At 40.7% G+C, this 14,377-nt stretch overlaps 2 long non-coding RNA genes across 9 annotated transcripts in view, besides 1 other annotated feature; one reads left to right on the top strand and one right to left on the bottom strand.

Moving 5' to 3' along the window:
* Positions 1–14,377, top strand: part of LOC105374786 (uncharacterized) — a 98,219-nt gene that overhangs the window by 72,402 nt on the left and 11,440 nt on the right. For 2 of the 5 annotated variants that reach the window (XR_940216.4, XR_940217.4), the window contains exon 1: positions 12,942–14,201. This is a non-coding gene — a long non-coding RNA (uncharacterized LOC105374786). Of the gene's footprint in view, positions 1–12,940; positions 14,202–14,377 lie in introns of those variants that run through there. The other 3 variants (XR_001739524.2, XR_940218.4, XR_007086626.1) reach the window with 3 other exon arrangements.
* LINC02831 (long intergenic non-protein coding RNA 2831) lies at positions 4,589–14,329 on the bottom strand. 4 transcript variants are annotated; one of them, NR_183412.1, is made up of 7 exons: positions 14,164–14,329; positions 13,743–13,826; positions 12,919–13,052; positions 11,657–11,853; positions 10,473–10,621; positions 8,529–8,627; positions 4,589–4,832 (listed from the first exon to the last, which is right to left on the bottom strand). It is a non-coding gene; the product is annotated as a long intergenic non-protein coding RNA 2831 (long non-coding RNA). The 4 variants fall into 4 exon arrangements; NR_183413.1 differs by having other exon boundaries at positions 11,745–11,853; NR_183414.1 differs by lacking the exon at positions 4,589–4,832 and adding an exon at positions 7,476–7,893.
* Positions 11,778–12,977: an enhancer, noted in NCBI's record as "BRD4-independent group 4 enhancer chr2:67792784-67793983 (GRCh37/hg19 assembly coordinates)". NCBI's record gives its function as "activates an origin of replication core promoter dependent on BRD2, P300/CBP, MED14 and CDK7 cofactors, and independent of BRD4, by STARR-seq in HCT116 cells {active_cell/tissue: HCT116}" and the evidence as "EXISTENCE:reporter gene assay evidence [ECO:0000049][PMID:35650434]".

Raw genomic sequence — 14,377 nt, 5'->3', positions numbered from 1 at the left:
GCCTGGCTTATGCTATACCTTATCATCTGAAATGACATTCTGCTGGGTTTTTTTAATTGAAATTTTTTATTTAGATAATTGTAGATTCACATGCTGTTGTAATAAATAATCCAGAGAGATGCTTTGTATCCTTTACCCAGTTTCCCCAATGGAACATTTTGTAAAACCATAGTACAGTATCACAACCAGGATTGATATAATCCACAGGCTTTAGCCAGATTTCCCTATTTTTACTTGTTTTGTGTGTGTGTGTGTGTGTGTTTAGTTCTATATAATTTAATGACGTGTGGATTTGAGTATCTATCATCACGGTCAAGAGACTGAACAGTTCCATCTCCACAAGGAACCTTGGGTTGCCCTTTGATAACCATCTCCATCTCTCTCCTGCCCCTTCTCCAAATCTGTGGCAACCACTTTAATCTAGTCTTCGTTTCTAAATTTTTAAAATGTGATATAAATAGAATCATGCATTATGTAACCTTTTCGGATTGGCTTTTCTTCACTCAGTATAATTCCCTGCAGAGTCATCAGGTTGCTACACACATCAATAGTCCATTCCTTTTTATTCCTGCATAGTATTCCATGGTGTGAATGTAACCACAGTTTGTTTAACCATTCACTCAGGAAAGGACTTCTGAGCTATTTCCTGTTTTTGGTTAGGGTGAATAAAGCTTCTCTGAAGATTAATGTACAGGTTTATACAAAATACAAACACCCCACATTTTTTAAACAGTCTCCTCAACTTGTGTAATTGTTTGAGGCCAATCACTGATTTTATCATAGCCATAAAATCTTTCTAGTTAACTTCAGTTTACCTTATACTATCCCCTTCCTGGATACCAAAGAAACACCTAGGTGCACCAAGCTTAGCATTTGCTTATAGTTGTATTATTTTTGTTGTATTTTTTGCCTTCTCAATGAGATTGGGAGATGTTTGAGGACAGGGACCATATCATAGTCCACTTTTGTTTGTTTGTTTGTTTTTGGTTTTTTTTTGTTTGTTTGTTTTTTGTTTTTTTGTTTTTGAGATGGAGCTCACTCTGTTGCCCAGGCTGGAGTACAGTGGCATAATCTCGGCTCGCTGCAACCTACGCCTCCCAGGTTCAAGCAATTCTCTGCCTCAGCTTCCCAAGTAGCTGGGATTACAGGTGCCCACCACCACACCCGACTAATTTTTGTATTTTTAGTAGAGGCGGGGTTTCACCATCTTGGCCAGGCTGGTCTTGAACTCCTGACCTTGTGATCCACCCGCCTCGGCCTCCCAAAGTGCTGGAATTACAGGCGTGAGCCACTGCACCCGGCCCCATATTCCACTTTTTTATAGCCTGTAGTGCCTACTACAGCTGTTAGACATAACCACAAATGAACTAACCAGGCAATAGTTTTAAATTTAATTTGATTTATTGTGCCTCTGTGACAGAGTATATCATGTTACTGTGTGGATATAAGAAAGCATAATGAACATACAATTTAGCTGGAAAACTCAAGCCAACAGGAAAGGATGTGAGGTTGGAAAACAATGACCTACTGTGATTTTGCTGTCAGCTTATGTGGACAGAGAACTGAGAGGACAGTGTGGGCTAGAGAAAGGATGAACAGTTGTTGAGCTGCTGAAGAAAAGAGTTGGTAATCAGGACAGGTAGGTGAGATGTGACCAGACTATGACCAACTCTTATGGACCAAATGCTTGTGTCCTCCACCAGGATTTGTATGTCAAAATCCTAATCCTCAATGTGATGGTATTAGAAGGTTGGGCCTTGGGAGGTAATTAAGTTATGAGAGTGAAGCCCTTGTAAATGGGATCAGTGCTCTTAGAACAGGGTCCCCAGAGAGCTTTTTCACACTCTCCACTGTGTGAAGATATAATGAAAAGCTGGCACTCTGCATCCCAGAAGAGGGCCTTCATGAGACTCGGACCATCCTGGAACCCTGATCTTGGACTTCTAGCCTCTAGAACTGTCAGAGAGAAATTTCTCTCATTTATAAGCCACCCAGCCTATAGTACTTTGTTACAGTGGCCCAGGCTGACTGAGATGCAGGCCTCAAGGTGTACCTATTAGGTATGTGGGCTGATTTCATTTTCTGGAATATATTATTGCCAACAAAAGCTAACTGAGACTTGAGATGTTGAAGTGGATCAATGTGACACTGCTAGGCTGAACTCTAATTCTGCTGGAACGAGGCCCTGCTGGCCTCTAGATGTTTTGGGAGTTTCTGAGCTTTTAGGAAATGTTATGAAACACTGAGATTTATGTCCCTTGAATTGTGTAGGGCCAGTTATTCCTTTTAGAAATAATTTGAATTGGGTCACAGATGTGTTCGATGCTCCAGCAGCTGCTGAGGGGGTCTTTGGGGCTAGCAGATAAAACAATGGAGCACTTGCTCTGCCAGAGGAAAGGCTAGGTGCTGAAAGAACCAAAGAGACTAGCATAAACTCTGGAAGAGGGAGCATGATCCTAGCATAGGGTGAAGCTGCACCTCACCAACCTCCTCACACCCCTGTCCCTTTCCCCTTCCTAAAACATCTGGACAATTCTGCTGTGAGGAACTCCTGCAAAAATAGCTAATCACAAGGATCTTTCTGCTTCCTAGAGGTCAGAGATCCAAGGGAGGGTCAGCAGCTTCATAAACAGTAGCCTGGGTCTGTCAGTGGTCCACAAAGCCAAAGATCACAGAGTAGTGGACATCAGAACAGAACTGTGGTCATCACCACCACACCACATCCAGGACCCTTAAGATCAATTGTTTTGAAGGAGACCCTGCAGGAGATCTTAGATTCAAGATACACACTGTTTTATAAAGGTGATATAATGGTACTTACTCTACAGTGACACCTGGGAGGGATGGATTCTATGAGTTCTGTTATTCTGGGGAAGAATGAAGAGCGAATGCCAATGCCAATCATGACTTAAGATGCTGGCTGTGCTCATCAGTGGCCAGCTGCAGAAGACATTTACATGTACCAATAAAGAGAAGCTAATACTCATAGGGTTTTGTCAATGATCCTATCCTGTACACTTCTGTTTAATTTCCATTTTCAACTTTGAAGGTGAGGCACTTGTTAATATACCTAAACAGCTCTGTTTGTAATTTTAGATGTCTGCAACAGGGAGATTGCTCATAGCTTAAAGGTCCCACGGTAAAAAGCAAAAAATGTGTAATTCCTAAATACATATGAAATTTCAGGCACAAATTCACTTAGAGTATTAATGACTTTAATGAAGACAGGCATCCAACTTAAAATCAGACTTGCAGTAAAAGTGTAAGCAATGCCCTAATTAATATACTTGCTGATTGTTTTCCTTGATAAAGACATTGACTGTTAAGTCTAATGGTGCCTCAAAGATCAACTGAACAGTGAAAAAGGCAACCAGCCAGTGACTTGAGTTTTGTTTTGTTTTTTTTTTTTTTTTGAGATGGAGTCTCGCTCTGTCACCCAGACTAGAGTACAGTGGGGCAATCTTGGCCCGCTGCAACCTCTGCCTCCCGGGTTCAAGCCATTCTCCTGCCTCAGCCTCCTGAGTAGCTGGGATTATAGGCACGTGCCACCACGCCTGGTTAATTTTGTGTATTTTTAGTAGAGATGGGGTTTCACCATGTTAGCCAGGATGGTCTTGATCTCCTGACCTCGTGATCCACCCGCCTTGGCCTCCCAAAGTGCTGGAATTACAGGTGTAAGCCATTGCGCCTGGCCAACTTGAGATCTTTTAACCAAAAAAGTACTTTCTTTCTACTCAGCTCCATAGCAATAACATCAATTATTATTATTATTATCATTGTCATCATTTTATATTATTATTTAACCTAGTTTTGTTTCTTGAATAAATTCAAACATTCTGAGGTGTAGGTGTAGCCTTAAAGTACTCTGTAGAATAAAGCGCATGAAGTACAAGGCAGTGTGATGTTAGAAACATAATTTCCAGTTTCAATTGTTCTTGAATAAAGCTCTTCAGGTTCAAGTTGCATTCTGCCAGGAGTCTTCTTTTCACGCCAACTCAACCCATGGAGAAGAAAGTGGCTGCCTTGACTTTATTGTGAGAAAGGTTGGCCCTCTTAGCTCTGTTTTATAAAGAAGGAAATTACGTACATTAGCCAACATCTCATAGCTGACAAATGATGGAACCTAGGTCTGTGTGGCTCCAGAAATTTCCATTATTTCTCCCATGCCATGCTCAAGAAAGATAATCAGGATATGAGTCACTAGCTTTAGCCCTCTCCACCGAGCATTTTCCAAAAGGGAGAGTAACTCCCTCCCTTGAGAAACAAAGAGAAAGTAAGCAGGAAAATTCCTTGAGGAACACAAAACACTTAATTGCTATTTGTCACTTCTCTTACTCAGGACAAGATTAATTAAACTCTGATCTTTTCATTTGCATGGGCCTAATGTAGATGGCCTAAAAATTGCTTCTTAAAAAAAGAGACTCTTCTGGGAAAATACCATGTGAATAAATCTGAACTCTCTTCGTTCCTTCCTACTGCCTGAACTTGTTTTAGACAACAGAAGTCTATGATTTAAAAACAAAAAAGCCAAACGTTTCAAATCTGATGGTGAAAACCCTTTTCATCATGTTCACAGATACCATCAAGGTTTAAGAAGTATTGCAGTTTATTAAGATGTATATTTTCAAGCTTGATGGAAATGACAGGGTCTCAAGCTGCAGTGTGACTCCAGGCCAAAACTAGAGACAGTTTCCAAATTCCTTATTGTTACACCCAGGAAGAAGCCCTGCACATAGGCTGTAGATTTGTCAAAAACTTAATTCTCCATGACAATTTCCATTGAAGGTAGAGGAAAGTCAATAGCCTGGAGTTCACGTCATCTTGGACAGCGGCTAGAAGATGGTACAATAAAGAAACCATAACCATGATAAACAGTGATTTCCCAATTAGATGTGAGAAAAATAAAGAATCGTTAAAATGACAAAATACCATCAGTCATGAAGGGTTGGCCTAATTAAATAATAGACCAATGTAAACCAGAGATTTATCATCTACCAGCTGTACGATGTGGGTTTATTCAAAACAATGGAAATTGACGTACATTTTACATACAGCCTCCTCTCGTTAGCTTCCTCCTTAACCTTTATCTGGAGGTCACCTAGGAAAATATACCTCCAACCTTAACTAGTTTCTGTATTCTTTCTGGTGTAACCCAGTCTCCAGTAGAGCATTTATGGCCTTGACCTGCCTGGTGGACAGAATGGTGGTTTTTCTTTAGTCTTGCTACAGGCTGCCCTTGCGTGTTTTGCTTTGCTCACTCATGTTCACTGTCAGTGTTGGCATCTGAATGTTTCTTTTGGCAAAACATTCAGAGCAGCAGGGCTCTGAGTGCTGGCCCTGTAGAGTCCTTTGGAAGGGTGTGGATTGGGTGGGGTCCCTGCATGTCACTGGCCCTGCCCACTATTACATCTGCCAGATGGACATGTAGCCATGAGTTCTTTGACCAGGTTAGTCAGTGAATCGATCTGAGGATGGCAGCTTCAGGATGAAATACACTTTCCTCTGCAAATGGCCTTTGTGTTTCTCTTCCTTTGTCATCCTAGGCCACTGACTTCCCAAAGCCTAAAAGCACATGAAGTTCCATGTAATGTGACCTCTTCCAGGACAGCCTGAAAGTTTGCCATTTGAAGGTTCAGTTCTGTTTGCTCTATTGTTTATCCCCAGTTTATTATTCATCTTGCATAGTTTAAAATATTGACTTTCATATCCACTTCCTCCTTAGCTTCACTGAGCTAGCCCAGATATTCATGAACTCAGGTCCTTTTGATAGTGTTGGCTGTCGTCCCATCTTTTTCATCCCACCCAACTGCCTGACAATTTGTCTGTATTCTGCTCAATGTCACAAATATGAAGCTGAGGTCCCTTCCAGGATATTTAAATCACTGTAGTTGGTGGCCATACCTTTGAGAGGATTCTGCTTCCTCCAGTTGTTCTTAATTATCTGAAATTGATGATTTCAGTATTAACAATTGATAATTGATTGACCATTCAATTGTGGTAATAAATGCCAGGCTCCCATCTGACAAATTCCATCTCACCCTTATGTCTAGTACAAATCATATCCTTCTCTAGGCTGTCACTTCAGCACCTGGATGAGGGTGAAGGCCAAACAGTATCACTTGACTGGTATGATCTATGGCAAGTGCAGCAGGATTTGGTGCCCAGAGGAATAAGCCCCTGGCAACACTGCCACAGAGCCTTTGTTTTTGTTTTTATTTTCCACATTAGGTGAAAGCCATCCAACTTTCCCTGATGTTTCCTTCTCTTTTTCATTATGTCCATGTGCATAAGAGGTTAGACCATTTTGGTTAGTCACTAAACAATAAGTAGCAAATGATTAATGATTAACCAAATGATTCAACCACATAGTTTAGGCATAGCCTGAATAACTACTTTCCAAAGACTTCTTATAAATGCCACTGTGTTCAGCTGAGTTGTTGAGCTCTTACTCTTTCTCTCAGTCTCTAGCTTCTTTTTTTGTCCTGACCTTTTCAAGGTTTGTATTGATTCCTTTGTTATGAAAAAGCAATCTGATAAAGTTTTAGTATAGAAAAAATTATCTGATAGAATAGTTTTTATGTTATTTATATGCTAGTCATATAATGTCTATTTATATGTTAGTCATTGTGCTTGGCACTTAGTGTACTGTGGTGAATAAAACACATTCCTTTCCCTCATGGTGCTAGCAGTCTACTAAGACCACAATGAATAGATAAACAAACAAACATATAATTAGAAAGTAGTAGAAGTATGCAAGTGAAGCCCATAATGTAGTGCCTGGAACCTAATGTTAAATAACTGCAAATTATTATTCCTGTTAATAATAATTATTATAATAACTACATAAAGTTGTTACATATACAATATTATTACATAATATATTGTCATTATTATACAAGATAGTGAGTGTTCTGGTTATCTACTTTTGCGTAACCAATCACATGAAAATTTAATGTCTTAAAATAATAACAACCATTTATTTTGCTCATATATCTGCAATTTGGGCAAGGCTTAGTGGCATTAGCTGAGACATTCTCAATTGGAGGCTGGAGGATTCTTTTCCAAGATGGTCCACTTACATGCTTAGTAAGTGAGTGCTAGTTATAACATGGGAGCTCAATCAAGGCTATTGGCTGGAGGCCTCAGTTTCTCCTGACACAGGACTTACAATGGGGCTGCTTGAGCTTCCTGACTACATGGAGGCTGGGTTCCAAGAGTTTTTCAAGTGACAGAAAGTGAAAGCTGTCCTTAAAGCCCTGACCCTAGAAATTATCAGCATCACTTCCACCATATTCTATGAGTCAAGCAGTCACAGAACCTGCCCACTTTGAAGAGGAGAGGCCATAAACACCTATTTTCAATGGGAAGAAGATCAAAGAATGTGTAGCTATTGTTGATCTGGCACGATGGGTTAACATACAAGCTCAAAAATGCGATCATTCCTTTTCATAAAATACCAGCTTATTTGGCTGGAGCACATTTTAAAAGCAATTTTATTTTTCATTTTAGGTTCTTGCATGAAGTAGGTAGCATAATTGGTGTTGCCCTTATTCTGCAGGGAATTGAGACCGATTTTAACTTGCTTAAGGTGCCAGCCATACTGTGTAAACCTAAGGAAGTTTGCTTCTCCTCAGTCCCCAGGTGCTTTCCACAACTTTTTCCAGGTTGTGACTGGGTTTTAACCAGTCACACACACTGGTTTGTGACTCAAGAAGTACATAGTTTTAATGGTCAGATCTGCGCACCACTGGTACCCAAGTTTTACAATATCCAGCTGTGGAATGGATCATCTTGTCTCTGAGGCCTCAGTTACTGAGATCATTGTTCACTTTTGGCGTACCATCTGTTGTCTGGATCTTCCTAAGTGATTTTCTGGGTTGGCTTTCTTTTTCACTGGGAATAGAAGAAGTTGTCAAAAGCCCAATGCATTCTTTTCTGCATTGTAAAACCATCAGGACTTAAGGAAAAATCCTTTAGCAATAATTGATTTGTTCAACTATCATTCAATTTCAAGTATTTTCTCTCTCTTTTTATTAAAAATTACTTAAAAGTTGCGGATGCCCAGCTCTGGTCTTTTGAGTGTGTTCCCATCTACTTTACCTCCTATCCTTAGTGAGTTTGCCACAATTACATTGTAGTTTGAAAACTAATTCCGTTTGAAATGTGTTAAAATCTTTCATTTAACACCAATTCTTTTTAGATATCTTTAAATTCAGACAACTAGACTAAAAAAAAAAGGATTGATTAAACCTGACAAATTTGAGTTGTTGGAAAGTGTTTTAAACAATTGTCTAGGCCTTTGGAAAATCTACTTCATGTTTGTCTCTAGATCCTTTCCTGAATTTTTAGTCTCCTTTTATTTAGAGAAAAGTTGCAACCATATGTTTCTGATTCATTTATAACTAATTTATCTAGAATTAGCTCAAGAAGCTATTGTTTTGTAAGAACATGTACTTTAAAGTTGTATGTAATCCATTTTAAGCCCTTTCTCTTCTTTAAGTAAGGAAAAATTATTTGCCAAACTTTACCTGAAAATCCAAAATTGGTTTGTTTCAAGATGCTGGAGCCATTAACAGTACTGAATGTAAGTCAGGGTATTGCTCCAAACTCTGTTCCTCCATGTTTGCCTAGAATTGGTATGGATACAAATTTGTGAACATGTCATTAGATCATTGGGCAGCACTTGACCAGTCTGCAGTTGAGGTTTCCCCAGGACCTAAAAAACATCCATAGATCTGGTTATGCATAGATTGATGAGTCTACTGACTGGTGAGGCCATTTTAGGACATTAAGAGATTTGGAGATACAATATAGAATTGAATCCCCCATTATTGCAAATGTTTCGGGATTGGAAAAATATCTCCACATGGCAAGATGAACCTTTGTAAACCAAAGAAAGAAACAGTTTGCATGGACTAAATGCAGTTTAAAACATAAAGGAAACAAGATAATGAAAATTTTGAGAAACTAAATCAGTGGAAGAGAGCTGGCACAGAAATGGTGAGGGTGAGGTGAGGAATGGGTCTTTGAATGGTGGTTCTAAGTCTAGCTAACAATCAGAGTCACCTAAATGGACGCTTGTTTCACAAGCACAGATTCCTGTGACACAGGATGGTTTGGTTCAGGTGCCTGTATTTTCTAAAAGCTCCTCAAGTGACTCTGATGATCAACCTAGTTTGGGGACCATATTGTCATTGGAAACATTTGTAAACTTTTCATGCATACAAGCATACATATACCCCCCATTCCCCAACACACACACACACACACGAAAGCACAATTATCACAAAGGAAACTAAAGTCCAGTCTGGGCCACAACAGTCTCTTTTATCCCCTGAAATCTGACTCTGCCTTCCCTCAAACTTTAGGAATAGAAATCAGGTAAGTTAGCCGTTTTACTTCTGCGTTCTTCTATACAATTCAGACTACCTCTTTCACCAGGTCTCAATTCAGGGCCTGAGGTGGGTGGGAGAACAAGACAAAGTAGATAGATAGCTACAGACACCTGCAACTGTGGGGAAGCTCTTCCTTGTGTCTTGAGTATTTTATGTCCAGCTCACAACTTTATTATGTGCTCATGAGAAAAGCCCCAGAGTCATTACCAGGAATCCTCTATCTACACCAGGACTACATTATGTAATTTTATTGCTTTTTGGAATCTTGTCAGTATCCTCATGGAACTCTTAATTGCCCAAAAGGAGTTGAGTAAAGAGGTTGGTGATGATGCCAAGTCCAGTGGGTAAGGATGGTCAGTCCATAACACCAGATTGCCCATCCATTCAGGGCAGTGCCTTCCCAATAGACTGACTGTTTCCAGATTATGTTTGGGAATGGGTCCAACTTTGTTTCAACAACTAAATTCACCAGGTAAAAGCTCTCCTTATGATTTTACTAGACCAGCATTTTCAACAGCCATTAATGAGCCAAGTACTATGCAATTTTATAAATTAAGGGATTCGGGCTATAATTATGTGTAAATCCTCCCCAAATTACCTGCTCTAGTCAGAAGGCATGGTCTGAAAAAGGAAGCAATAATGTTTTGGAAAATCATGACATTCTGTAAATAAACTCTGGCAGCAAAAATTTCTTGGCAAAAGTACTGTTCAAGTCAATAAGCCTCAATTTATTGCTACATGAATCAGAAATTAATTCTTCCTCAGTCATTTCCATACTTCTGAAGTATGACATCATTGGCAGAATCTGAACACTCTATGGGTACCTAGACTCTTCATATAGTAAGTCAAAATGAACGTAAACAGTCGAAGAGGGAAGCACTTAATTTTCTTGAAATTTTCTGGTGAATTGAGTTTACTATAATGAGAATATATGAGGCTGCCAAAGGGTGTGAGGGGGATGGGAGAAGTGGAGTTATTATGACCTTGGTGTCCATAGAGACATTTGTATTCTCTGGGGGATAACAAAGCCAAATACTCAAAAGTCTGTTCACAAGGAGACATTGTTGCTGGGACTACCTTTTATTCAGCTTTTTTGATCCTTTTCTCCATTTCCAAGGAATGATATAATCTCTGATTCTGCTTTTGGAGTCCTTCCCAGCCCATTCCTTTGTTGTCTTCTAACCTTCCATCCATGTGTCAGAGTGGTGTGAAAACATCCAAGCATCCTGCTTAGGAAAATGTATTTGCTGTTGATATTGTTTGGCAAAACACATTGATAGGGTATTTTGATTGTGAAAAGTGAAACCTCAAGTCAAGATCTAGAGGCAGGAGGCAAAATAAAGGGGACATCGAATTGTTCTTACGTGAAAAGATGCGGAAACTTTTTTGTGTGTGAGCAGCCTGAGAGCAAGAGGGGATGAGGGACCCAGAAAAATTGGAAGTGTGGAGCTACAAGATCAAAGGAGAGAGGTTGGCTTAGTAACATGGTGGGCATCAGGGATAGCGGGGGCATGGGCCAAGTTGTTTTATAATGGCAGTGTTTGATATTACATTTTAAATTGTTTGCTGCGTTGCTCTGAGAACAGGAGCCCCTTGGGGTACCATGAACTTGAGTAGAGTTCATTATGTACACTTCCTTGTGTTGGTGATCATTTGGCAGAGGAATTAAAAGGGGATGAGGTGACAGCCCACACTGGGGTCAACCTATGTGGTGAGATGGTTACAGAAGATGAGACACTGGGTAGAAGGCAGACTATTAGAGACAAATGAGCCCCTCAGACGCCTCTACTCTCATGTGAGTCACCTCCCATCTCACAAGGGCCTCTGTGGTCATCTCTCAGCTGATCTTGCTCTTCCCTCTCCTGCCCTTCTACCACCCTTTCTCTACAGCAGCAACTGAGGTGAGCTTTAAAAATGTAAATCTGATCACGATGGCTTCTCATTCCTTTCAGAATAAATTCTAAATTCTCTGCCATGGTCGACCAAGCCCTGTGCAGCCTAGCTCATGTTTGCCCCTCCGACCTCCTCTCTTCCAACTTTCTCCTTCCCTCCCACTGATCTACCCACACTGGGCTCCTTGCCATTTCTCCTAGACACCAACCTCCTCCCCATCTCAAGTTTCTACACTTTGTGGCTCCTCTGCCTGATAAGCTCTTTGCCCAGATGCTGGCATAGCTGGATCCCAGATATCATTCAGATCCTAACTTACATGTCACCTTTGCAACGAGACCTCCCTTGACCATCCTAATTAAAATACTCACCCCTCAACTGCTACTCTTGATTCTTTACTCTGCTTCATTTCTTTTCATTGCACTTATTATCACCTTCCATTTTTATTTATTTGCTTACTTATTTGCTGTCTGTCTCCCTGGGGTTGACAGCCTCTAAAACAGCCTCAGTGTTCTCTGCCTTCTGGTATTTCTCATCTTGAATGTGGGCTGAATCTAGTGACTTCTTTCTAATGAGCAGAATTCAGGAAATGTGATGGGATTAGGTTACAAAAAGAGTGTGACTTGCATCTTGCCTTCTCTTGCCCTCTCTCACTCTGTCTCTGGGGTCCTTGTTCTGGGGGCTGCAAACTGTTATGTTGTGAGTAACCTATGGGGAGGCCCTTGTGGCAAGGAACTGAGGCCTCTGGCCAACAGCCAGCAAGGACCTGAGGCCTGTAAACACCTGAGGCTGTGTGAGTGACTTTGGAAAAAGGTCTCCTCCCAGCTGGCTTGGAGATGACCACAGCTCCAGCTCACACCTTGTAGCATTATGACCCTGAGTCAAAGGCCCCCAGCTGAGCCACACCCAGATTCCTGACCCACAGAAACTGTAGGGCAGTAAATGTTTCTCATTTTAAGTCACTAAGTTTGGGGGTGCTTTGTTATGCCATAATAGATAACACACTGCTCCACTGGAATGAAAACTCCATGTGGGTAGAGACTTTCTCTGTCTTGTTTCGCACTCTCTCCTAAACAAATAGTATAATGCCTGGCACACAAAAGGCACCCAATATATTTTTAGTTTAAATTAGTCAATTAATGCTGGGATCGGAGGGGAGAACACTGAGTTTTTCAAAATATGTTGAATCAGGTCTTGAGCCAACATTGATATTTAAAGTCGAGGCTGTTCTTAAAGTTGACTCCAGAAGTCTCAGGAGTACTCATGTCACAAACATGCCGGTAATACCGGGCTCATAATACTAATCTCTTGAGCACGATTATTGATGCTGGTCTCTGTTGCTGAGCAAACTTCCACTGACGAGCCCAAGCTGAGGGTGGGGCCAAATGTTACCCAGTTGCTGTGTGCATTTGGAAGAATGACTCAAACCTCCCACACTTCCTTCATCTGTAAAGACCTCACTGGGATGTTGGTAATACAGAGAATAAAATACGTAATGGGCTAAGGTTTGCTCTCAATAAATGGTGGTCTCCCCTCCCTCAGGGAGCTTGTTATCTAAGTGAGGAGACAAGATCTGTGCATAAGGAAGATGATTCACAACACTCCACATGAAGCATAATGTGATGTTACATACCAGATGTTTTCCAGGCAGGAGTTACAATGGAATAATTAATTATTTTATGGTTCTTCTTTTCTGTAGGGTGTTGGGTGCACATTTGTCACCTGGGAATACTACCAGCAAGCCTCATATTTTTTCTGCAATAAATGCTGGAAAGGAAAAAGAAATGCTGAAAATGATGAAGTAATTCCAATTCTGCTGATAGAGACCTGGAAATGCACTAGGGAAAAATGACAAGAGTGTAACACACTGCTGCTGATTATGTCATAATGATTATTTTATGCAGTTTGAAGAAGACTCACTGTTCTAAAGAACCAGCATCCATTTCCAGGAAAGAGCAGGGATTCTCCATCCATACCTCCATGGGATGAACCACATTGAAAATAATGATTTCCTTCTAATAGCTTACTCTACATTATATAAAGAATTCCTTGGGATTCTAAAAAAACCCTAATAATATAGTAATAATAACAACAGAGGTTTGTTTTTGCTATTTGTAGTCTAATATTCAGATTGTGAGCAGCTGTTTTGGAAGGCAAGATGAGTGAATAGATGTGAAGTCGTCTTAGAAATGTCCAGGCTTCCAAAAGAAATTTCACTTTTAAAAGAAAATAGCCTAATGTGAACCACATTAGAATCAGCACATCTAATCCTACGGAGAAAAAGTGACCATGGCTGTCTACACATATAGGCAGGTCATTCAAGCTCATTCAAAAATTCCACTTTCACTGGTGGTCTGTCTGTGTCCACATGGTGACAAATGGCCCCGGCAGGGTTTTTGAGGTGTTGGCACCACCAGTGAGTGCCAGATGGAATGTGGTGAAAGTTCTGATTTGTACCTTTCAGACTAAAGGTACTTTCCAGAATGGACGGGTCCTTCTGGCTGCCTTTTGTAAGTGCAGCCACAGGTATTCTGTTGAAGCCTGTGGGTGAGAAAGACATAAACAGGTGCTATAAATTTGTCAGACCAGGAAGCCACAGGCCGTTTAGTAAATGGTAAACCCAATGGCCCAAAAGAACAAAGGGGTCTCTTTTCATCAGAATGATCAGGCTCATTCAACAAATATTTATTGAGCACCCACTTTCTGCCAGATGGAAGAGCCACTGACAAGGCCTCTTATTTAAAGAGTGCCTGAAGTGAGGAAGCAAACCCCCAAATCATCTGGGATGGTATGAACTGAACTCTGGACCGCAACATGATGGAAAGGAGGAGCTGGGGTCCCAAGGGCAGTCCAGACAACCTGAACCTGTGACACTCACCCTGCCCACACACTCTCAGAGCTGCAGCTTTCACGGGGGTGAGTTTTCTGCCTTGATTTACTCAGGCCAAGACCTTTCATTTTCTGGAGAAAATACAGGTTTTTCTGTAGTATTTCACAAACAAGGCAATTCTCTCAGGGAGGTGAAACAGCATTGCTTCTCAACTGAAATCTGAATTTCATCTTCCTAAGTTTATATCGTTGAGTCACAATTA

Source organism: Homo sapiens, chromosome 2 (assembly GCF_000001405.40).
Source record: "Homo sapiens chromosome 2, GRCh38.p14 Primary Assembly".
Lineage (NCBI taxonomy): Eukaryota > Metazoa > Chordata > Mammalia > Primates > Hominidae > Homo > Homo sapiens.
This window is presented reverse-complemented; position numbering and strand designations above follow the sequence as displayed.